Below are 23,860 nucleotides of genomic sequence, written 5' to 3' on the forward strand. Positions count from 1 at the left end.
AGGCCCCAGTGTCTCCTGGGGGACTGTTGGGTGGGAAGGCTCTGGCTGCCCTCACCCTGTTCCCATCACTGCAGAGGGCTGTGCGGTGGCTGGAGCTGCCACCGAGCGTCTCGGTGAGGGTGACCTCACACTGGCTGAGCTTACAGGCCCCATCTGAAGACTTTGTTCGTGGTGTTCTTTCACTTCTCAGAGCCTTTCCTGGCTCCAGGATTAATACCTGTTCACAGAAAATACGAGTGGCCTCCTCTTCCTCCACAACCTCACAGGACCTTCTCCCTTCCCTCCCGCTGGCCTCCTTTTCTCTCCTGTCACTCTGCCTGGGCATGCCCCAGGGCCTTGGCTGTGTCCTTTCTTTCCTCAGGGAAGACCACAAGTTTGGGCTAGATGCCTCCGCACCCCCCCACCCACACCCCCTGAGCCTCTAGTCCTCCCTCCCAGGATGCATCAGGCTGGATGGTGACATCTCCCCACCCTTGAATGAGACGGCTTTGTGCTGCTCTGGGACCCGCACCCAGCTTGGACTGCTTGCTCCATGGCCCCAGGAAAAGCTCGTACAGATAAGGTCAGCCACTTGGGTGGGGGGCCCACAGCATGTCACCCTCTCTGTCCCAGAAGTCACGTGCTTGGTCCCCTGTGAAGCCCCTCTGGGGACCTAGGGGACAGGCAGGGCATGGAGACAAAGTATGCCCTTTTCTCTGACAGTGACACCAAGCCCTGTGAACAAACCAGAAGGCAGGGCACTGTGCACCCTGCCCGGCCCCACCATCCCCCTTACCACCCGCCACCTTGCCACCTGCCTCTGCTCCCAGGTAAGTGGTAACCTGCACAGGTGCACTGTGGGTTTGGGGAAAACTGGATCTCCCTGCACCTGAGGGTGTAGAGGGGAGGGAGTGCCTGAGAGCTCATGAACAAGCATGTGACCTTGGATCCAGCTCCATAAATACCCGAGGCCCAGAGGGAGGGCCACCCAGAGGCTGATGCTCACCATGGGGCGCCTGCAACTGGTTGTGTTGGGCCTCACCTGCTGCTGGGCAGTGGCGAGTGCCGCGAAGGTAAGAGCCCAGCAGAGGGGCAGGTCCTGCTGCTCTCTCGCTCAATCAGATCTGGAAACTTCGGGCCAGGCTGAGAAAGAGCCCAGCACAGCCCCGCAGCAGATCCCGGGCACTCACGCTCATTTCTATGGGGACAGGTGCCAGGTAGAACGCAGGATGCCCAATTCCATTTGAATTTCAGATAAACTGCCAAGAACTGCTGTGTAAGTATGTCCCATGCAATATTTGAAACAAATTTCTATGGGCCGGGCGCAGTGGCTCACACCTGCAATCCCACCAGTTTGGGAGGCCGAGGTGGGTGGATCACTTGAGGTCAGGAGTTGGAGACCAGCCTGGCCAACATGGTGAAACCCCGTCTCTACTAAAAATACAAATATTAATCGGGCGTGGTGGTGGGTGCCTGTAATCCCAGCTACTCGGGAGGCTGAGGCAGGAGAACCGCTTGAAGCTGGGAGGTGGAGATTGCGGTGAGCTGAGATCACGCTACTGCACTCCAGCCTGGGTGACAGGGCGAGACTCTGTCTCAAAAAATAGAAAAAGAAAAAAATGAAACATACTAAAAAACAATTCACTGTTTACCTGAAATTCAAATGTAACTGGGCCTCTTGAATTTACATTTGCTAATCCTGGTGATTCCACCTACCAACCTCTCTGTTGTTCCCATTTTACAGAAGGGGAAACGGGCCCAGGGGCAGGGAGTGTGGAGAGCAGGCAGACGGCTGGAGAGAAGCAGGCAGGCAGTTTGCCCAGCATGGCACAGCTGCTGCCTCCTATTCCTGTGCAGGAAGCTGAAAGCCGAGCTACTCCACACCCGGGTCCGGGTCCCTCCAGAAAGAGAGCCGGCAGGCAGGAGCTCTCTCGAGGCATCCATAAATTCTACCCTCTCTGCCTGTGAAGGAGAAGCCACAGAAACCCCAAGCCCCACAGGAAGCCGGTGTCGGTGCCCGGCCCAGTCCCTGCCCCCAGCAGGAGTCACACAGGGGACCCCAGATCCCAACCACGCTGTTCTGCCGCCTGCGGTGTCTCAGGCCCTGGGGACTCCTGTCTCCACCTCTGCTGCCTGCTCTCCACACTCCCTGGCCCTGGGACCGGGAGGTTTGGGCAGTGGTCCTGGGCTCCTGACTCAAAGGACAGGTCACCTTCTTCTTGGGCGAGCTCTTCTTGGGGTGCTGAGAGGCCTTCGGCAGGTCATCACGACCCCTCCCCATTTCCCCACCCTGAGGCCCTCAGGATGGACAAGCCCAAACAAAGCAACCCCCACGGCCCCGCTAGAAGCAAAGCCTGCTGTGCTGGGCCCAGTGACAGCCAGGCCCCGCCTGCCTCAGCAGCCACTGGGTCCTCTAGGGGCCCGTCCAGGGGTCTGGAGTACAATGCAGACCTCGCACCATTTTTGGCTGATGGACTGGAACCCAGCCCTGAGAGAGGGAGCTCCTTCTCCATCAGTTCCCTCAGTGGCTTCTAAGTTTCCTCCTTCCTGCTTCAGGCCCAGCAAAGAGAGAGAGGAGAGGGAGGGGCTGCCGCTGAAGAGGACAGATCTGGCCCTAGACAGTGGCTCTCAGCCTGGGGACGTGTGGCAGGGCCTGGAGACATCTGTGATTGTCACAGCTGGGGAGGGGGTGCTCCTGGCACCTCGTGGGTCGAGGCCGGGGATGCTCTAAACATCCTACAGGGCACAGGATGCCCCTGATGGTGCAGAATCAACCCTGCCCCAAGTGTCCATAGATCAGAGAAGGGAGGACATAGCCAATTCCAGCCCTGAGAGGCAAGGGGCGGCTCAGGGAAAACTGGAAGGTACAAGAACCTGCTAACCTGCTGGCTCTCCCACCCAGACCCCATGCTGCACTATGTGGGCTTCGTCCCTGTCATTGATGGAGACTTCATCCCCGCTGACCCGATCAACCTGTACGCCAACGCCGCCGACATCGACTATATAGCAGGCACCAACAACATGGACGGCCACATCTTCGCCAGCATCGACATGCCTGCCATCAACAAGGGCAACAAGAAAGTCACGGAGTAAGCAGGGGGCACAGGACTCAGGGGCGACCCGTGCGGGAGGGCCGCCGGGAAAGCACTGGCGAGGGGGCCAGCCTGGAGGAGGAAGGCATTGAGTGGAGGACTGGGAGTGAGGAAGTTAGCACCGGTCGGGGTGAGTATGCACACACCCTCCTGTTGGCACAGGCTGAGTGTCAGTGCCTACTTGATTCCCCCAGGGAGGACTTCTACAAGCTGGTCAGTGAGTTCACAATCACCAAGGGGCTCAGAGGCGCCAAGACGACCTTTGATGTCTACACCGAGTCCTGGGCCCAGGACCCATCCCAGGAGAATAAGAAGAAGACTGTGGTGGACTTTGAGACCGATGTCCTCTTCCTGGTGCCCACCGAGATTGCCCTAGCCCAGCACAGAGCCAATGCCAAGTGAGGATCTGGGCAGCGGGTGGCTCCTGGGGGCCTTCCTGGGGTGCTGCACCTTCCAGCCGAGGCCTCGCTGTGGGTGGCTCTCAGGTGTCTGGGTTGTCTGGGAAAGTGGTGCTTGAGTCCCCACCTGTGCCTGCCTGATCCACTTTGCTGAGGCCTGGCAAGACTTGAGGGCCTCTTTTTACCTCCCAGCCTACAGGGCTTTACAAACCCTATGATCCTCTGCCCTGCTCAGCCCTGCACCCCATGGTCCTTCCCACTGGAGAGTTCTTGAGCTACCTTCCATCCCCCATGCTGTGTGCACTGAGAGAACACTGGACAATGGTTTCTATCCACTGACTCTCATGGGCCTCAACTTTGCCACCTTACAAAATAATTTCAGCCCAAGGCCTCATTAAAGACCTTCATGTAATAATAGCCAATTAGAAGGAAAAATAAGGCCGAGTGCAGTGGCTCGCCCTTGTAATCCCAGCACATTGGGAGGTCAAGGTGGGAGGATCACTTGAGGTCAGGAGTCTGAGACTAGTCTGGCCAACATGGCAAAACCCCATCTCTACTAAAAATACAAAAATTATCCAGGCATGGTGGTGCACACCTGTGATCCCAGCTACTCAGGAGGCTGAGGCAGCAGAATCAGTTGAACCCAGGAGGTGGAGGTTGCAGTGAGCAGAGATTACGCCACTGCACTCCAGCAGGGGCAACAGAGTGAGACTGTGTCTCGAATAAATAAGTAAATAAATAAATAATAAAAATTAAAAATAAATTAGCAATCTGAAAAAGATAGGAAGATAAAAGTATACCTAGAAGTCTAGGATGAAAGCTTTGCAGCAACTAAGCAGTACATTTAGCTGTGAGCCTCCTTTCAGTCAAGGCAAAAAGGGAAACAGTTGAGGGCCTATACCTTGTCCAATCTAATTGAAGAATGCACATTCACTTGGAGAGCAAAATATTTCTTGATACTGAATTCTAGAAGGAAGGTGCCTCACAATGTTTTGTGGAGGTGAAGTATAAATTCAGCTGAAATTGTGGAACCCATGAATCCATGAATTTGGTTCTCAGCTTTCCCTTCCCTGGGTGTAAGAAGCCCCATCTCTTCATGTGAATTCCCCAGACACTTCCCTGCCCACTGCCCGGGACCTCCCTCCAAGTCCGGTCTCTGGGCTGATCGGTCCCCAGTGAGCACCCTGCCTACTTGGGTGGTCTCTCCCCTCCAGGAGTGCCAAGACCTACGCCTACCTGTTTTCCCATCCCTCTCGGATGCCCGTCTACCCCAAATGGGTGGGGGCCGACCATAGAGATGAGATCCAGTACATCTTTGGGGAGCCCTTTGCCACCCCACTCCGGGCTACCGGCCCCAAGACAGGACAGTCTCTAAGGCTATGACCGCCTACTGGACCAACTTTGCCAAAACAGGGTAAGACGTGGGTTGAGTGCAGGGCGGAGGGCCACAGCCAAGAAGGGCCTCCCACCATGAGGCCTTGTTCCCTCACTTGCCAGTGGAGGGACTTTGGGCAAGTCACTTAACCTCCCCCTGCATCGGAATCCATGTGTGTTTGAGGATGAGAGTTACTGGCAGAGCCCCAATCCCGTGCACGTGCACAGCCAGTGCCCAGTATGCAGTGAGGGGCATGGTGCCCAGGGCCAGCTCAGAGGGCGGGGATGGCTCAGGCGTGCAGGTGCAGAGCAGGGCTTCAGCCCCCTGGGAGTCCCCAGCCCCTGCACAGCCTCTTCTCACTCTGCAGGGACCCCAACATGGGCCACTCGGCTGTGCCCACACACTGGGAACCCTACACTACGGAAAACAGCGGCTACCTGGAGATCACCAAGAAGATGGGCAGCAGCTCCATGAAGCGGAGCCTGAGAACCAACTTCCTGCGCTACTGGACCCTCACCTATCTGGCGCTGCCCACAGTGACCGACCAGGAGGCCAGTTCCATGCCCTCCACAGGGGACTCTGAGGCCACTCCCGTCTCCCCCGACAGGCAACTCCGAGTCTGCCCCCGTCCCTGCAACGGGTGACTCTCAGGATGCCCCTGTGCCCCTCACAAGTGACTCTGAGGCTGCCCCCGTGTCCCCCTCAGGTGACTCTGAGGCTCCCCCGTACCCCCTACGGGTGACTCTGAGGCCCGTGCCCACCTTGGGTGACACTGAGGCTGCCCCTGTGTCCCCCACAGATGACTCCGAGGAAGCTCAGATGCTGCAGTCATTAGTTTCTAGTGTCCCATCAGCCTTGGTCTCAAGAGGCCGAGAGGGTGCAACCCCAGGGGCTCCCCTCCCATCTTGAGCTCTTCCTGAATAAAACCTCATTCCCCTGTCTGGCGTCTTTCTTTGCTCTCAAGGCTAAGCTGCAGGAAGGAGTGGACCTCAGTTACCCTTACAGCACCAGGTGGGGGCCCAACCTGTGACCCCATCACCTGGCACAATCCCCAGGCTCTGGGGCGTTGATGGTGCCATCCTCACTTTCGAGTGGAGGAGGTGGGCCCAGGGAAGTTGATTGGCAGGCCCAGGAGTGGGAGTCAGGCACAGGTCACTCCAGAGCCTGCCCTTCCCTGAATGGAACCAGGCTGCTGGCTCCCAGGGACTAGATTCTGTCCCATATGGTGGGAGGGGCTGGTGGCAGCTGCAGTCAGAGAGGGAGCTGGGGTCTGGCAGGCTGTGGCTGCCTCTGGACTAGGGGATCCCAGCCACACCCACATCCTCTGGGTGCAGGGAGTGAAGTCTGTGTTCTAACTGGGGTCTGGGGAACCCGCCTGGGAAAAGAAAGGGATTCTGCTCCTCCAGCCGGATGCAAGTGGAAGAAAGAATAACACATCACACCAGAAGGTTGGAAGCAGAGGATGGGGAGGGTGCTGGGCAGTAGGCGCTGGGTGGTGGGCCTCTGGGGGGTGCCCAATGGCTCTGGCAGAGTTGACGGGGCAGGGGCAGAGGGCAGAAGGCAGAGTCAGGAGTACTCCTGCCTCTGCTGGGTCTAAGCCCAGGCACATCACTGAGCACTTGACCAGCCTGACCTCACCATGGCCTTGTGAGGTGGGTATGGTGTACACCCTCCTTTTAGACGTTTATAGATATTTAGAGGAAAATGAGGCCCTGACAGGGCATCACGTGCCCAAGGTCACTCAGAGCAAGGATTTGAACCCAGGTCCCTGACTCCAAAGCCAGTGCTTGGAACAACGTTGGGGGTCTTCTTCCCCACTCCTCACCTACCTTCTAAACAGGCACTGTGGGGCAGGGTGGGGCTTAGATGAGAGAAAATTCTGGAATCCTGAGCAACTTTGCCTGGGGGGCTCCGCGGTGGAGGGCAGCAGCACCCAAGGACCAGCTAGCCACTCTCTCTGCCCCTCCAGCCTACAGGTGGGAGGATAAGGCTCAGGGCCGACAAGTCCTGTGGCCTCATGCAGCAGAGCTGAGCCGGGACGAACCCTGTCCCCTGGAGAAGCAGGGGACACCCTGGCTGGCTGTGACCACTTTGGCCACCCTGGGCTTCCTGGGTTGGTCAAGGGGTCTCTGGTGTAAAAAGGGGACTCCCTGTCAAAGACTGAGTGAGATGGAGCTGCCCGGCAATGTGGGCCTCTCCCAGTGACTGTCCCTGTTCTCTTGGGCAACGGAAGCCCGAGGATACAATGATGTGTCCCTTCCTTGGCCACACTGGTACCCACAGGGATTATTGTGTTTCTACCTGTGGAGTCAGCTCTCAGGCGCCTCCAGCACTGTGGGAGAAACCCCTGGGACCCCAGTGCTTCTTCCCAACCCTTGGGACTGGCACCCGTCTCTTGTTGAGAGAAAGCACAGTCATGTCTGTCATTCAGAAAATCACATCCCTGGATGGCCAAGCCACGTCAGAAGGGATGGGCTGTGGGGATCCAAGCGTGTTCTACCTCTGGGCTGCACCCGCCATCCCTCTGCTTCGGTTTGAATGCTTGTCCCCGCCAAAACTCATGCTGAAATTTAATCCCCAATGTGGCAGTATTGAGAGGTGCTGCCTTTAAGAGGTGACTGGATCATGAGGCCCTGTCCCCGTAGATGGATTCATCCATTCATGGATTCATGGGTTAGTGGGTTATCATGGGAGGGTAACTGGTGGCTTTGTAAGAGGAAGAGAGACTTGAGCTAGCATGTGAGCAGGCTCAGCATCCTCACCACGTGATGCCCAGTACCGTCTCGGGACACCAGAGTCCCCACCAGCAAGAAGGCCTTCACCTGCTGCAGCCTCTCTGAGGCAGGAGGAGAGGGAATTAGGGAAGCCAAGGGTTGGGGCATAAGCAAAGGAACAGCAGGTACAGCCCGTTCACATAAGCCAGAGAACAGCAGGTGCAGCCCGTTCTCATAAGCCAGAGAACAGCAGGTGCAGCCAGTTCTAGGCAGGATTGGGGAGCACACAGGCCACATCCTCACTGCTGTGATAACAAGTCAGGAGCTTCCACTTCAACCTCTGATTGACCCTGGGCCAATCCTCCACTTCAGCCTCTGATTGGTCCCAGGCTAATCCTTCATAGGGTGTAACCAATTGGAGGCCTCTAAAGGGCATCTGGGGTGTTCTTTATAAAAACCCTGAGAAGCATTGCAATTGGGAGGTCCTTGAGCCGTTTGCTTGGGCCCGCTCCCACCCTGTGGGTTGCACGTTCGCTTCAATCAATCTGTGCCTTTGGTAAGCTGTTTTCTTGTTGCTTTGTCTTTTTTTTTTTTTTTTTTTTTGGTGGAGTTTCACTCTCATTGCCCAGGCTAGAGTGCAATGGCACAGTCTGGGCTCACTCCAAACTCTGCCTCCTGGGTTCAAGCGATTCTCCTGCCTCTGCCTCCCAAGTAGCTGGGATTACAGGTACCGGCCACCACGCCCAGCTAATTTTTTTGTATTTTTAGTAGAGACGGGGTTTCACCATGTTGGCAAGGCTGGTCTCAGGTACCTCGGCCTCCCAAAGTGCTGGGATTACGGGCGTGAGCCACTGCGACTGGCCTGTTTTGTCTGTCATTGTTTCATTCTTTTGTTACTTTGTGAGTTTTGTTCACTTCTTTGTTCAATACACCAAGAACCTGGACAACTCAGTCAGGACCTTCCATCCTATAACACCTCAACCTCGGACTTCTCAGCCTTCATAACTGTGAGAAATTCCTTTTCTTTATAAATTACCCGGTTTTAGGTATTCTGTTATAAGCAACAGAAAATCTACTTTAAAAGCCTCCATGGCACAGGTGAGCCCTGCAGTGTGTCTGGGTGATGCCTGCAGCTGTCGAGAGGGAGGAGACAGCTCAGAGTCACCTGCAATCTGGCTCTTGCCATTACAGACTCCAGATGATGAAGTTGAAAATACTGACAGGCTGGAGGCCATCTGGGGTCCTGCTGGCTCCCAGTTCCAGGAAGCCTGGAAGAGCACTGGGGTGAGCTCGGGCCAGCGCATGTTTACTGTCACAGGGGACATGTTTCAGCACTTTCATTGTAAGGCTGTGGCCTTCTGTGCTTGTGGATCCTCAGTCTCAGTGGCCTTCCTCTTCCCCCCACCCCAACTCCTGTGTTGCGTGTTTAACACACCTACGCCCAACCGGGACATAACTAAATCCTAGACTGTGGACAAAGAATACAGTCACCTCAGGGGGCTGCGAGCTCTAAAGGCTCAGGGCCCAGCTACCCCTTTAGGATGGGTCAGTAACAACACGACTGACTCTGTAAATTGGTGATCACCTGAGACTGGACCTCAGCACCACACGGACCTGTGCTTCACCTTGGCCATCGGGGGAGAGTATGGAGGTCTTTTGCTGGCAGGAATCAGCACCCTTATCCTGGCAATCAGCACTCACTGGCCATTCATGAGGCTCCAGCAGGACGAGTGGCCACAGTGTGCAGGGCACAGGGGATGGGGCTTTCCAAGGTGTTTCTGGATGACATCAATCACACAAGGAGTTGTAGGAATGCTGGCATCCTGGTTCACGGGTAGACGCCAGAGGATGCCAAGGGTGCTGGGTAGAAAGCAGAGGATGCCAAGGGTGCTGGGTGGTGGGCCCCTTGGGGGTGCCCAATGGCTCTGGCAGAGTTGTTGGGGCAGAGTCGGGACCACCCCCACCTCTTCCGGGTCCAAGCCCAGGCACTGCACTGAGCACTTGATGAGCCTGACCTCACCATGGCCTTGTGACGTGGGCACTGTGGGCAGGAATGCTTATGGAATGAGGCCCACTGTAACCCTAACACAGCATCACAAGTCTTTCCCCAGAGAGAAAACGCACAGGCAATGGAAATCTATGGTTAGGAACAAAGATTCCCGTCTAAGAAAAAGGGTGGACCACGGGCCTCTAGAAGGGACTGAGGGGGCAAAGTCCTGCCCGTGCACTGGCTAACACTCTTCCTTTAGCTTTTCCCCCCCACTTTCCATATTGTACATTTTATCTGTTTATAATTTTTCTTAGTGCTGACTAAATTCCAGAGTTAGACCTTGAAATCCACAAGTTCCTAATTGGTGGTCAACAGAAACCTCAGCAAGACAAGCAGAAAATGCTCCTCTTCCCCTAAAGCTGTAGAAAGGCAGCCACCAACCTGGGCTAGGAAATGGTCCTTACAGATACTATTTTTTTTTTAACTGTGGTAAAACCTATATAACAAAACTGATGCTAATTTAACTGTTTTTAAGAGTAGAATTGAGTGACATTAGTTCGATTCACTGTTGGGCAACCATCACCACTCTCTATTTCCATAATTTTTTCATCACCCCAAATAGAAGCTCTATATCCATTAGCTAACTCCTCATTTCCCCTCCCTCTAACCCCTGGTAGCCTCTATCCTTTCTGTCTCCATGAATTTGCCTTTTGGAGATATTTCTCATAAGTGGAATTGTAATGTTTTCAAAGTTCATCCATGTTGTAGCATGTGTGGGCATACCATACCTTTTTTTTTTTTTTTTAAGAAGCGGAGTTTCCCTCTTGTTGCCCAGGCTGGAGTGTAGTGGCACAATCCCGGCTCAATGCAACCTCTGCCTCCCGGGTTTAAGCAATACTCCTGCCTCGGCCTCCCAAGTAGCTGGGATTACAGGTGCTCATCACCATACCCGGCTAATTTTGTATTTTTAGTAGAGATGGGGTTTTACCATGTTGGTCAGACTGGTCTTGAACTTCTGACCTCAAGTGATCCACCCACCTTGGCCTCCCAAAGTGCTGGGATTACAGGCATGAGCCATTGCACCTGGCCTTTTTATGACTGAATAATATTCCACTGTATGTTGCTGGCATGCAATGGTGCATTCTCTTATAAAGCATTATCTTCTCATCCTTTTTATTTGTGTAAAGTTGGTAGGAATGTTCCCACTTTCATTCCAAATTTTAGTAATTTGAGTCTTGTCTCTTCTTTGTTCATCTAAAGTATTGTCAATTTTGTTCTTTAGAAATAACCAGTTTTTGGTTTTGCTGATTTTCTCTATTTTTCTATTCTCTATTTTGTTTATCTCTGCTGTAATCTTTATTATTTCCTTCATTCTGCTAGCTTTGGGTTTAGTTCGCTCTTTTTCTAATTCCTAAATGTGTGCGGATAAATTATTGATTTGAGATCTTTCTGCTTTTTTAATGTAGTCGTTTACAGCTATAAATTTCCCCCAAGCACTGCTTTCAATTTCACCGCATGCTGTAAGTTTTGGTATGTTGTGTTTTTGTTTTGTCTCAAGGTGTCTTCTAATTTCCCTTGTGACTTCCTTTTAGACCCATTGGTTGTTTAAGAGTGTGTTAAGCCTGGGCGCGGTGGCTCACGCCTGTAATCCCAGCACTTTGGGAGGCTGAGGCAGGTGGATCATGAGGTCAGGAGTTCAAGACCAGGCTGGCCAACATGGTGAAACCCCATCTCTATTAAAAAATATATAAAAATTAACCAGCTGTGGTGGTGCACACCTGTAATCCTAGCTACTCAGGAGGCTGAGACAGGAGAATTGCTTGAACCTTGGAGGTGGAGGTTGCAGTGAGCTGAGATCGTGCCACGGCACCCCAGCCTGGGCGATGGAGCAAGACTCCGTCTGGAGTCGGGGAGGGGAAGAGTGTTAAGATCCTTTTGTAGTTGATGAACAATGATGATTGGGTGTTCATGCACATGCGTGAGATGTGTCACCCTCAAACCCTTACGTCGGCACGTTACCCATCTGACGTGAAAAAGAAGAGAGTGCGTTAACTTCCACATATTCATGAGTGTTCCAGTTTTTCTTCTGCTATGGATTTATAATTTTATCCTATTGTAATTGGAATGATACTTTGTATAATTTCGTTTTAAAAATTTATTGCTGGGTGCAGTGGCTCATGCCTGTAATCCCAGCACTTTGGGAAGCCGAGGCAGGGAGATCACCTGAGGTCAGGAGTTCAAGACCAACCTGCTTAACATGGTAAAACTCCATCTCTACTAAAAATACAAAAATTAGCCGGGTGTGGTGGCGGGTGCTGTAATCCCACCTACTCGGGAGGCTGAGGCAGGAGAAGCACTTGAACCTGGGAGGTGGAAGTTGCAGTGAGCCAAGACTGCACCATTGCACTCCAGCCTGGGCAACAAGAGCAAAACTCCGTCTTAAAAAAAAAAATTAAGACTTACTTTATGGCCTAACATATGGTCTATCCTGGAAAATGTTCCATGTACACTTGACAATAATGTGTAGTCTGTTGTTGCTGGTTTGTGTGTTGTGTATATGTCTGCTCAGTCTAATTGGTTTATAGAGTTGCTCAAATCCTCTTTCCTTATAGATCTTCTGTTTGGTTGTTCTTATCCATTATTGGAAATGAGGTATTGAAATCTCCAATTGTGTATTTCTCATTTAATTATATCAATTTTTGCTTCATACATTTTGGGTGTTTTAAGTGTGTGTATGGATACAATTGTTGTATCTTGAGAAGTTGCAGCTTTTGTCAGTGTATACTGACCTTGTCTTGTTACGGTTTTGACTTAAAATCTATTTTGTCTGATAATACTATAGCCATTGTTAAAATATACTATTTTCATGGAATAACTTTTTCCAACATTTTACTTTCAACTTTTTTGTATCTTTGTATTCAAAATTTGTCTCAGCCGGGTGCAGTAGCTCACGCCTGTAATCCTAGCACTTTGGGAGGCCAAAGTGGGTGGGTCACTTGAGGTCAGGAGTTCAAAACCAGCCTGGCCAATATGGTAAAACCCTGTCTCTACCAAAAACACACAAAAAAATTAGCCAGGTGTGGTGGTAGACACCTGTAATCCCAGCTACTCAGGAGGCTGAGGCAGGACAATTGCTTGAACCTGGGAGGTGGAGTTTGCAGTGAGCTGAGATTGCATCACTGCACTCCAGCCTAAGCGACAGAGTGAGATTCCACCTCAAAATAAAATAAAATTTGTCTCTACAGGCTGGGCATAGTGGCTCACACCTGTAATCCTAGCACTTTGGGAGGCCAAGGCGGACAGGTCACCTGAGGTCAGGAGTTTGAGACCAGCCTGGCCAACGTGGCAAAACCCTGTCTCTACTAAAAATACAAAATTAGCTGGGTGTGATAGTGGGTGCCTATAATCCCAGCTACTTGGGAGACTTGCCCAGGGGTCAAGTGGCAGTGAGCCAAGATCGTGCCACTTCACTCCAGCGTGGGTGAAGAGTGAAACACCATCTCAAAAAAAAAAAAGTCTATACAGCATATAGATAGACAAAGTTCTAAAAAAATCCATTCTGCCCATCTTTTTTTTTTTTTTTTTTTTTTTTTTTTTCCTGAGACAGGGTCTTGCTCTTGCTCTGTTGTCCAGGCTGGAGTGCATTGGCAGGATCACAGCTCACTACAGCCTTGACCTCCCGGGCTTAAGCGATCTTCCCACATCAGCCTCTTGAGAGCTGGGACCACAGATGCACATCACCATGCCTGGCTAATTTTAAAATTTTTCTGTAGAGATAGAATCTCACCGTGTTGCCCATGCTGGTCTCAAACTCCGGGGCTCAAGCCATCTCCAACCTCAGCCTCCCAAAGTGCTGGGATTACAGGTGTAAGCCACTGCATCTGGCCCAATCTCTGCTTTTTAATTGGAGAACTTAACCCATTTGTATTTATAGTAATTAATGAGAAAACCTTTACTTCTGCCATTTAGCTGTTTGTTTTCTGTATGTCTTATGATTTTCATTCCTCAATTCCTCCACTACTGCTTTTTACGGATTTACTTTTGTACAATTTTGATCCTTTCTTTGCTTTCCTATATACTTTTTAGTTATTTTCTTACTGGTTACTTTTGGTATTACAAGTAACATCTTAAACATATAACAATCTAGTTTCAATAATACCAATTGAATTTAAGTAGTATACACTGCTATTACACATCTTCCCTCTGTCAGTCACAGATTATATCTTTATACATTGTTTCCATTAATGTGGATTTATAGCTTTATGAATTTTACCTTTAAATCATAAGAAAAAAGGATGAGTTACACAAATCCAAAGTGAAATAACACTGGCTTTGCTAACTACCTGTTAGTTATCTCTACCAGTGTTCTTTAGTTTTTCATATGGCTTCAAGTTACTGTCTAGTGTTTATTTTAGCTGGAAGGACTCCCTTTACCATTTATTGTAGGGCAGGTCTACTAATAAAACTCCCTTAACTTTTATCTGAGAATGTCTTAATTTCTCCTTCATCCTTAAAGGATGTTTTGCTTCTTCTTTCAGCACTTTATTTTGAGAATATTTTTTGAGACGGAGTCTTGCTCTGTCGCTCAGGCTGGAGGGCAGTGGTGCGATCTTGGCTCACTGCAACCTCCGTCTCCCGGGTTCAAGCGATTCTCCTGGCTCAGCCTCCAAATAGTTGGGACTATAGGTATGTGCCACCATGCCTGGCTAATTTTTGTATTTTTAGTAGAGACAAGGTTTCACCATGTTGGCCAGTTTGGTCTCGAACTCCTGACTTCAGATGATCTGTCCACCACGGCCTCCCAAAGTGCTGGGATTACAGGTGTGAGCCACCATGCTCAGCCTTCTTTCAGCACTTTAAATATGTCATCCTATTACCTTCTAGACTCCATGGTTTCTGATGAGAAATCAGCTGTTAATCCTGAGGATCTCTTGTATATGATGAATCTCTTCTTGCTGCTTTCAAGATTTTCTGTCTTTTGACAATTTGACTAATAAATTTGGGTATGGATCTGAGTTTATCCTGTTTGAAACTCATTGAGCTTCTTGGATATGGAGATTTATGTCTTTCATCAAATTTGGGACGTTCTGGACCATTATTCAAATAATCTCTGCCTTTTCTGAACTCTCATTAAATGTATGTTGGTACATTTAATGGTGTCCTACAAGAACCTCTAGTTCTGTTCATTTTTCTTCCTTTTTCTTTCTGTTCCCTGGACAGAATAATCTCTATTGCCTTATCTTCCAGTACACTGATTCTTTCTTCTGCCTGCTTAAATCTGCTGTTGAATCTCTCTAGTACATTTTTCTTCTCAGTTATACTTTTCAGCTCCGGAGCTTCTGGTTGGTTTTTATAATTTCTATCCCTTTATTGCTAATCACCCATTTGCTCATACATTATTTTCCATGGTTTCCTTTAGCTCATCAAGCATATTTAGGACAAGTGATTTAATGTCTCTGACTAGTAATTTTAATGTCTGAGCTTCCTCAAGGATAGCTTCTGTTAAATCCTCTTTTCCCCTGTGAATGAGCCATATTTTTGTTTCTTTGTAATTTTTTGAGAACTGAACATTGAGTATTATAATGCAGTGACTCTGGAAATCAGATTGTCTCCCTCCTCAGGAATTGCTTTTTTGCTTATTGAAGGATGCAGTCTTCTGTGTCCATAGTGACTTTTCCAGGCTTATATTCGTATTTTTGCCAGGCTTATATTTGTATTCCTTGTTGTGTATAGTCACGAAGTTTCTGTTCTGTTGTCTCTTGGTCAGCCTGTGACTTGATGGAGATCCTGTTAACTGTTGGAGTTCAGCAGCATCTCCCTTCACCAAGTGTTCCCCTGGTGACTATGTCCGACCAGGTTCCAGAGTCCCAAAACAGTTTATTCTGATAGTTTTCTTTCTTCCAGCTTAATCGTTGTTTCTGTGCAAAAACTGAACCCTGGGGCCTCCTACTCTGCCATCTTTTGTCACAAATGTTACTTTATTATTATTATTTTTTGAGACAGAGTCTCACACTGTTGCCCGGGCTGGAGGACAGTGGCGTGATCTCAGCTCCCTGCAACCTCCGCCTCCCAGGTTCAAGCGATTCTCTTGCGTCAGCCTCCCGAATAGCTGGGATTAAAGGTGCCTGGCACCATGCCTGGCTAATTTTTTTTATTTTTAGTAGAGATGGGGTTTCACCATGTTAGCCAGGATGGTCTCGATCTCCTGACCTCATGATCCACCTGCCTTGGCCTCCCAAAGTGCTGGGATTACAGGCATGAGCCACCACGCCTGGCCACAAATGTTACTTTTAAAGACAGCTAAATTTCAGAAATTCTTGCTATGCCTTGTGAAAGTACCTCCAAACTCTAGTCCCAGGAGTTCTGAGGGCTGTCTCAGCACATTTCCCAGTTTAATGGTGCCAAAAGGAACATCTGCTGTATGAAAGGTAAACTTTTGTGTTTCCTTCAGTGTGCTGAGAAGAGTGGCTGGCTTTTCCTGTGCATAAAATAACTGGATAACCCTGCAAGGGTCCTTACTTAAACACGGAATGTGAGAGTCTCTATCTCATTTTAATTAAGACAGGTAATGAAAGAACAAAACTGTAATGACCAGGGTATAGTAGAAACAGGATTTTAATATAATATTCAAGTCTAGCATTTGCTATTTACAACAAATAAATATTGCCCCTCCCCAATCAGTAAACAAACATTTTTTTTTTCTTTTTGCTTTTTATACAAATATTCAATCACCCCACCCCCACCCCAAATCCTCCTTCCTCACTAACCCCCGTCTTGCATGGTCTCGTAAAGCCCAGGACGCAGTGGTGAATGGCACTTGCAGTGGCATGAGATTCAACATCGATGGGACTCAGCTGGGACTGTCCTCACTCACCGGGTGCAGAGTCTGGTCCATGAAGAGGGTTTCTCTCTCTGCTCCCAGGGGAGGGCTGGGGTAAGCGGTGGGTGAGACTCCCTCACTCTCAGTTGGCCCTGATGATGGAATCTTTGGTGCAGCCTGAGAAAGGCTAGAGTGGTGGGAGGGGCCGGGACCCCTGCGAAGGTCACAGGCCAGTGCCTGTGGGCATGAGAGAACTGCAGTGGTCACAGTGGGTGCTCTGGGGTGCCCATGGGCACAGGTGGCAGTGACCCACACCTGGGAAGGTGTCAGGGAAGTGTACAGAGGTGGCGCCCGGGGGCAGGCAGGGCACCATGCCATGCCCGTTGGCACTGCTCCTTGGCAAAAGTCAGCTAGTCCTCTGGTTCCAGAGAGCAGAAGGCACCTAAGGCAGCGAGTGGTCCACGGGAGGCCAGGTCAGCCTGACCAATGGCAGGCGTCAATCCCAGCAGCGGGAGAGGTTCAGGATGAAACTGGAGTCTGGGGTACCCTGGGCTGGCAGGTGGGAGGAAGGCGCCCAGCTGGCCTGGGCCACTCTGGTCCATAAGTGCTTGGCTACCAGCCAGCCAGACCCTGGGAGGATGCCCTCAGAAGATGCCCTTGGCAATCTTGAGTCCTTTCTGCTTCATGCGAGGGAGGGTGGAGCTGGCTCCGTGCTTGACCTTCACTCCCTTGGTGAAGGTCCGCTTCTTGAGGACAAAGTCATAGTTGGCGGTAGAGTTCATGGCATAGAAGACGTTGGCGTTTTCAGGGATCTTCAGCTCTGGTGGGGAGGGGCAGAGGGGTGATCAGGGATGCTCCTGGGGGCCCTGCAGGATACCCCTACCGCTTGAGAGCCCATACAAGGACTGTCTTGAGCCACAGACCTCAGATCCCCTCCAATACAGCTCCAGAACTCCAAGGACCCCTCTCAATGACTCCTGCCTGAGGACAGACTCTGCTGAGGTCCTCACAAAACCTGATGACTCTTGTTTAAACAGGGACTGACTCCAGAACCCCCCGGCTTGGCCTGAGCTGGCAGAGGGTCACCCCGTCCTGCCCATACTGCAGTGCTGGCTGCCCACCTGGAACAGGCTTTCTAGAATCCAGGTCACCTCCCAGAATCCTGCCCTACTCAGGACAAGGGATCCAAGGACCAGGAAAGGACAGGCCTGCCCCAGGGCTCTGGCGCCCGTTCCAGGGAGGCCTGTACTCCTTGAACCCTGGCACCCGGCAAGCACTTCCTTTTGGCTCCATTTCCCACCATCTCCTCTGGCCCACAGCCTGCTATAAACCAGAGCTGGGCTCGATTTGTGCTCCTGCCGACATCGTGTGGCTTTTCGTCATCTTTAACCTCTCTAGGCCTCAGTCTTCCTTTTCTGTAAGATGGGGGTCCCGCCTACCCTGCCCACCTAACCGAAATGGTGCAAGAAGCTGCCAGAGGATTTAGACTGTAACTTCTAGGGATCACAGGAGTCATTGCTTACTGTCTGGGCTAATGGTGGGAGGTGGTGTTCAGCTCACTGGAAAGAAAACAGCGATGATAGTATTTATAGTTAACTTTTATGGTGCACATAGATGCTTTATATATACATGCATATATATACACACACATATACATGCATATATATACACACACATATACATGCATATATATACACATATATACATACATATACACATATATACATACATATAGATTTTTACATATATGATGAACACACTGGCTACTTTCATTTCCATTTGGGGGATGAGAAGACAAGCACAGAGGGCTTAAGGAGCTTGCCCAGCGTCTCCAGGCCCAGGATACCCCACTCTGAGCCTGCACTGGTTCTTGACACTTTCCCAGTTTCTAGAATACTGAGTTGGCCTCCTAGTAGCCTGTTCTGCTTTTAGAATCACACACTCATGGATTTTAACACTTGACACTTTGGTCCACAGCTGTCACCATTCTTTGTAGAGCACATGTTTTCTTGTCTTAGCCAGAAAGAGTCCCTTCCAGTGGGCCACGTGGCTAACCTGTCCCAGTGAAAAATGCCTTTTCTCTTTGCTCCTCACTGATGTGAGCTTTGAACTGCCTGTTCACGCCTAGGGAAGGGCACACACTGGGGAGGTCCAGTGGTTGCTGGGGACAGCAAGCAGACAATGGGGGCAGCCAGGGCTGCCCTGTCCACAGTGTCTACCCACACTCTGCTGGTGAATTTTCTGGGGCCAAAGGCTTCCAACCTGGGGCTGGGGAGTGGTGTGGACCTGCCCCCTCTGCCATCGCCCTCTGGTCTTCTGACTTACTCCGGTCATCTGAGAGAATCTGCAGCAGCTCATAGTCCTCCGGCTCCTCCTCCTCCAGGTTGTGTTTGTCCATGGCCTTGCGGATTACAGCCGGAGCCTTATCTTGGCTGGTCACCTGCATCGCGGCGGGGGATGGACCATCAGGGAAAAGACCCTGGAGCGGCTCCCCCAGAGTGCAGTGGCCAAGGACCCTCTGGAGTCCCCTCAGCACCAAGCACAGGCACTCACAGCCTCTGGCCAGGTGCTGGGTCCGGAGAGGGCCTTGTCACATTCTCCTACTCCCCAAGTGAGGCCTCCGTCCTTCTGTTCCCCATGTGAGGCCTCCATGGAATGAGGAGGGGTCTGTCCCAGCAGTGCCTACCCTGCTTCTCCTGTAAGAGACTGTTCCCTCCTCCCACACTTCCTTGAGAAGCACTTGCCCCTCCAGGATAACAGCATCACTGAGCCTGGGGAACAGACAGTCCCTAGTCCAAGCCCTGGAGGTAAGAAAGGAGGGGCCGGCCAGGATGCTCAGTGTGGTCAGCATAGGCCAGGCCCCTGCTACCTTGACCCTGAGGGCCAGAGCACAGGCGGAACTCGGACATAGGGCCACAGGTGACTGCTTAATGACAACCATGCTAGCTCCTGGCAATGAGGGGTCAGGAGCGTGTGTGAATAATGGGGCACCTGACCCAGGGCTGGGGTACAGAGGGTGGGGGTTACAAATGGTTCATCTGTCGCAGGACACCTGGAGGATGAAGAAAGAGCCCCCAGGCAAACCCATTCTGTGAGCAATTCCCATCTGCTGTCTCCAAATCCTGTCTAGACTCTGACCCTGCTGGCCCCTTCCAGGGCTCCCAGCCTGGTTGCCACAGCGGCCTCCTAACCAACACCCCTGCGGCTCTGGTACCAGCCCACACCAGACAGAGAAGCCAGCCATCATTGCTCCTGTCTTCCTCCCCGAGAAAGTCGAGGTCCTGGCAGGGCTCAGGGCCTATGTGGCCAGGCCCTGGATACTTCCCTGACCTCACCTCCCCTACAGCACCGCCCCTTCAGCTCCTGGGGGCTTTGCACGGCTGCTCCTTTCCTCCCCCTCTGCCCTCAGGCCAGCCTTGTCCCTGATCACTACCTTCTTCATTTCTGTACCTGGCTGACATCTGTCCTTCCCCGCCAACTACAAGGTAGACCCCGGGAGGGCAGGGATGGTGCACTGTGTTCAGGGTGCATTTGCCGCCAGTGGAGGGAGGCACCCAGGCCACCCCCGCCGGCTTACCAGGATGCTCTTGTACATGTTGCCATTGTCCACGTCCAGGCTGACGCGGATGATACAGCAGTCGCCCACCTGCTGGTTGTAGAGCGGCAGCGCGGAGCTGGAGTTGCAGAGCCCTGAGACAGAGCGCTTGTGGGTGCGTGTGGCAGCCACGGGCGTGGTGGAGGCTGAGGAGGACGAGGTGCTGCTGGAGGCTGAGCTGATGCCGGAGGTCTCCGGGGATGACTGTGAGGCTGATTCCCAGAACTGAGGGAGACGGTAAGATCAGCAGATCCCACTGCCCTGTGGGGGCACCCCAGGCCAGCTGCCAGATGGGGAACCTTCTAGAAGCTGTGTTCAGGATCCAGGGCTTCCTGGCCCCATGCATGGATTTGGAGTGGGGAGATGGGAAAGGATATTGGGGAGAAGGGCAGGCAGTCACCTTCTTTTCCTGGCCATCAGGAGACTCCGGGACGAAGCTGATGTTGATCTCCTCCACGTCGGAGCTAGAGGAGCCGGCCGAGTGCACGCTGAGCGCGTCAGCGATGTCCCCGCTGCTGAGGTAGGGGCCACACCTGAGCTGGTCACAGGACTTGGAGTGGGAGCTGCCACTGGTACTGAGCTCAGTGCTGGGGGCCTGGCGGCTGGGTGAAGAGTTGGCTTAGTTAAGGGGGCTCCCCAAGGACACATCCCAACCCCACAGCCCCTGCACCCTGCGCCCAAGGACTGTGCAAAGTGCTGGGACAGTTGCCAGTACTCCATTCACCACAGCCATCTGGGAGAGCATTTAGTATCACCCCATTTCACAGAGGAGGAAACTGAGGCCCAAAAAGGTGAGGGGACTCATCCCAGTCTCAGGGCCAGTCAGCAGCAGGGTAGGATTCCAGGGCCAGCCTCCCTGACTCCCTGAGCCCAGGCTCAGCCCTGAAGCTTCTGAGCCCCAAGGCAGCTGCCCCTACCACCCTTGGCCAGGCCCTTACTCGCTCCAGCGCTTGACAATGGCTGTGTTCTTCTTGGTCCTGAGGGTGTTGCTGGCTGACTCGGATGGGGGCTCCAGCTCGCACGACAGGTTGTAGCTATGAGCAGAGGGGCAGTGGTGTGACAACCAGGGGCCATGCTCCGGCCTTCCCCCAGCACCTGCCCAGAAGCTGGAGTCGGGGTGCCCCGGCCATCCTCAGGCAACAGGGGCTGAGGCTGACCATGGGTCATAGCTGCTGGCCCTCTGGAGCTGGCCCCCTAGGACAGCCTGCCCCCACTGTCCCCATTTGCTGCCCCGGCCTCACCTCTCAGTCTCGCTGAGCCGCTCCACGGCCCGGAACCAGGCCCCAAATTGCTCATCTGGCGCGATGCTGTAGTTGTTGCAGGCCGACTGCAGCAGCTTGATCTGGGCGATCACCTCGAACTCCTGGGGCCAGAGGGAAGCACAGGGCGGTGACAAGGCCCCCCGGGCAGCACAGGGGCCAGTCTCTGGGTCTTTGTTCTTGGGGTCCCTTCCTCCCCTCTACTCCCATCCAGGCCTTCCTGTTCTCAAAGTTGGGCTCAGCCACTCCCCAGGAGGTGGTCCTGGATTATAACCTCCTACCCTCACCCTCCAGTGGGAGGGGACCCCCTTCTCTCTGTGTCCAAATGTCCCATGTCCCATGAATCTAAGGAGAGGGTAGGAGTTGAAATGTCCTACCCTGGTGGGTCTGTTTTCCACCCCTCCCCAAGTCAGGGCTGCCTGCAGCTGCTTACCTTCCTCCTCTTCTCAAAGTTGATGAGTCTGCCCTGGAAGGTGGACACCCAATGGCCGTCAGAAAGTGACCCCTTGACCATTACAGTCTCCCCACCTCATGCTGCACTATCAAGAGTGCCCACCAGGGGGCAGGGCACGCACACCCCTGGATTGAAGCCGGTGCTGGGCACCAGGGCAAGGGGACATGCGGGCAGAGGCTTGGGGACTTCTTGTCCAGCACTCTCGGAGGACAATGGACTGAGGCCTTGGGTGAGAAGGCCCTGCTCAGCCACCACGTGCCGCCTGACCGCTGAGGGCCTGGCTTCCCTCTGTGCTCAGGGTCACTGCCTGAGGGATGGGCTGTGTCCCACTCAGCCAAACCCTGCTGCAGCTCTGTGTTTGGGCAGCCCTGGGGTGTCACCAGCAGGGCACTGAGCTGTTTACTCATTGCTGGGACAGGTGTGGCAGCCCAGCCCCCAGGGCTCAGGGAAGGTCTCTCCTCCCGGGCCCTACTCCAGCCCCGCCCGGCACACTCACATACAGATAGTCCTTCATGGCAGTGTCCAGCATCACCAGGTCGGTGAGGAACGTGCCCAGGTAGGGAACGGTGCCCTGGATGATGCCCTGTGACATTGGGGTAGGAGGATGAGCAAGGCCCCTCCCCTGAAGGCTTTCTCAGCCCCCAGCCCCAACTGGTCTCACTTGGAACAGCTGGGGGACCTCTGGGGGCCTCCTGGGGCCCACTGTCTCCCTGGACCCCAGACTCCCTCTAGCCATCTCCCTGGCTGGCATCTGGGAAATGCCAGGTTCCCAAGTCGTGTGGCCCCTGGCCCTCCCCAGCCCCACACCCGCCTGAGCCGGCTCTGCCAGGCCTGTCCTTTCGTGGCTGCAGCTGGTCTTCCCAGATACCAGCTGATCCAGGTGTGGCTCTGCTAGGGTCCAGAGGAGGCTACCTCTAATGGGGCCCATAGGCACCGTGGCTAGAGAGGAAAGGGCCCTCCTCCCTACCCCCAGGCCAGCCCCCTGCCCCTCCGCGGCCTTGGGCACTCTCACCGTCTCCTTCGGCCGTTTCTGGGCTCTCTTGGGGTTCATCTCCAGGGTGGCAAACTTGGAGGTGCCCTCCTGCCAGGGTAGAGGACAGGGTCAGCAAGGCCCTATCCCCTCAGCCCTCAGGCACCCTGACCTGGGGTGCTGCCAGTGTGGTCGGGTTCCAGGGCTGACCCTGTATCAATACTCACTAGTGTGGGGTCCTGGGCCGGTGGCCTGGCCTTCCTGAGCCTGCCTCCCCCTCTGGAAAGTGCGGATGAGAACTCCGCCTGCTGCATGGTGCGGTGGCTCACGCCTGTAATCCCAGCATTTTGGAAGGCCAAGGCAGGTGGATCACTTGAGGTCAGGAGTTTAAGACCAGCCTGGCCAACACAGTGAAACCCCATCTCTACTAAAAAATACAAAAATTACCTGGGTTGGTGGTGCACACCTATAATCCCAGCTACTTGGGAAGCTGAGGCAGGAGAATCCCTTGAACCCAGGAGGTGGGGATTGCAGTGAGCCGAGATCACGCCATTGCACTCCAGCCTGGGAGACAGAGCGAGACTCCTTCTCTAAACAAATAAAAAAACTCCACCTGCCTCGCAGGGCCTCAGAGACTCTGCGCTACAGTCCTGTTATGGCTGCACACTCCTTTCTCCCTTGAACCTTCCATAAGGTCAGCACCCCAGGGCTGGCATTCCTCCATTTTCTAGATGAGGAAACTATGGCCCTGAGATGGGCAGTGACTTGCCCTGGGCCCCCCAGGGACTCAGAACAGGCTCTTCTGTCCTAGCCAGAGGCTCTGCCCCATCTGCCTTTACCCGTTTGGTCACTGATCAGGGTACCGTCCTCTGGGCTTCTCGTGCATGCCAGGGCCCCCAGTGGAGCTGTGCCACGGAGGGAGAGGGACAGGTGTCCCAGGAGCCCCCTGCGATGCTCCCCTGTAGGGAACTCTGTGTGTGTCCACGCAGGAGGGGGGCCCTAGATGCCATTTCACTGACCGGGTATGCCAGGGGCACCAGGCAGTGACACTTGACTCCCTCTGAGGCCTCGTGAATCCATTAGTCACTGAAAGTTCTCCTCAGTCATCTGGGGTATCCGCCACAGCTAATGGGGTGCCATGGGAAGAATTCTACAGGGTTCTCTGGTCAGTGTCTCTTCTCGGGGCAGGGTAGGGAAGCCACATGGGGCCTCCA

General features: G+C 52.9%; 1 protein-coding gene, 1 non-coding gene and 1 pseudogene across 7 annotated transcripts in view, besides 2 other annotated features; 2 read left to right on the forward strand and 1 right to left on the reverse strand.

The window, feature by feature from the left end:
• Positions 1–964: 964 nt before the first annotated feature.
• On the forward strand, positions 965–5,517 carry CELP (carboxyl ester lipase pseudogene; annotated as a pseudogene). Its single transcript, NR_001275.2, has 5 exons — positions 965–1,052; positions 2,882–3,068; positions 3,266–3,469; positions 4,684–4,883; positions 5,212–5,517. The product of NR_001275.2 is annotated as a carboxyl ester lipase pseudogene (transcript).
• Positions 8,914–9,415: an enhancer, noted in NCBI's record as "H3K4me1 hESC enhancer chr9:135965875-135966376 (GRCh37/hg19 assembly coordinates)". NCBI's record gives its function as "activates a minimal SCP1, AML or CMV promoter by ChIP-STARR-seq in naive H9 embryonic stem cells {active_cell/tissue: H9 hESC(naive)}" and the evidence as "EXISTENCE:reporter gene assay evidence [ECO:0000049][PMID:30033119]".
• LOC124902343 (small nucleolar RNA U13) lies at positions 11,478–11,577 on the forward strand. Its single transcript, XR_007061919.1, has one exon. It is a non-coding gene; the product is annotated as a small nucleolar RNA U13 (small nucleolar RNA).
• A 4,570-nt stretch (positions 11,578–16,147) lies between these two features.
• The window catches only part of RALGDS (ral guanine nucleotide dissociation stimulator), a 51,489-nt gene continuing 43,776 nt past the window's right edge, over positions 16,148–23,860 (reverse strand). For all 5 annotated transcript variants that reach the window (NM_001042368.3, NM_001271774.2, NM_001271775.2 and 2 more), the window contains exons 10-18: positions 22,689–22,757; positions 22,173–22,259; positions 21,656–21,688; positions 21,205–21,326; positions 20,902–20,997; positions 20,364–20,565; positions 19,946–20,188; positions 18,694–18,808; positions 16,148–17,188 (exon numbers count right to left, since the gene is read on the reverse strand). In NM_001042368.3, the coding sequence (NP_001035827.1) occupies positions 17,013–17,188; positions 18,694–18,808; positions 19,946–20,188; positions 20,364–20,565; positions 20,902–20,997; positions 21,205–21,326; positions 21,656–21,688; positions 22,173–22,259; positions 22,689–22,757 (1,143 nt within the window). In that variant the 3' untranslated portion in view covers positions 16,148–17,012. The remainder of the gene's footprint in view (positions 17,189–18,693; positions 18,809–19,945; positions 20,189–20,363; positions 20,566–20,901; positions 20,998–21,204; positions 21,327–21,655; positions 21,689–22,172; positions 22,260–22,688; positions 22,758–23,860) is intronic.
• Positions 19,628–20,827: an enhancer, noted in NCBI's record as "CDK7 strongly-dependent group 2 enhancer chr9:135976589-135977788 (GRCh37/hg19 assembly coordinates)". NCBI's record gives its function as "activates an origin of replication core promoter dependent on BRD2, BRD4, P300/CBP, MED14 and CDK7 cofactors, with strong dependence on CDK7, by STARR-seq in HCT116 cells {active_cell/tissue: HCT116}" and the evidence as "EXISTENCE:reporter gene assay evidence [ECO:0000049][PMID:35650434]".

The sequence above is a fragment of the Homo sapiens genome, chromosome 9 (assembly GCF_000001405.40).
Source record: "Homo sapiens chromosome 9, GRCh38.p14 Primary Assembly".
Taxonomy (NCBI): Eukaryota; Metazoa; Chordata; class Mammalia; order Primates; family Hominidae; genus Homo; species Homo sapiens.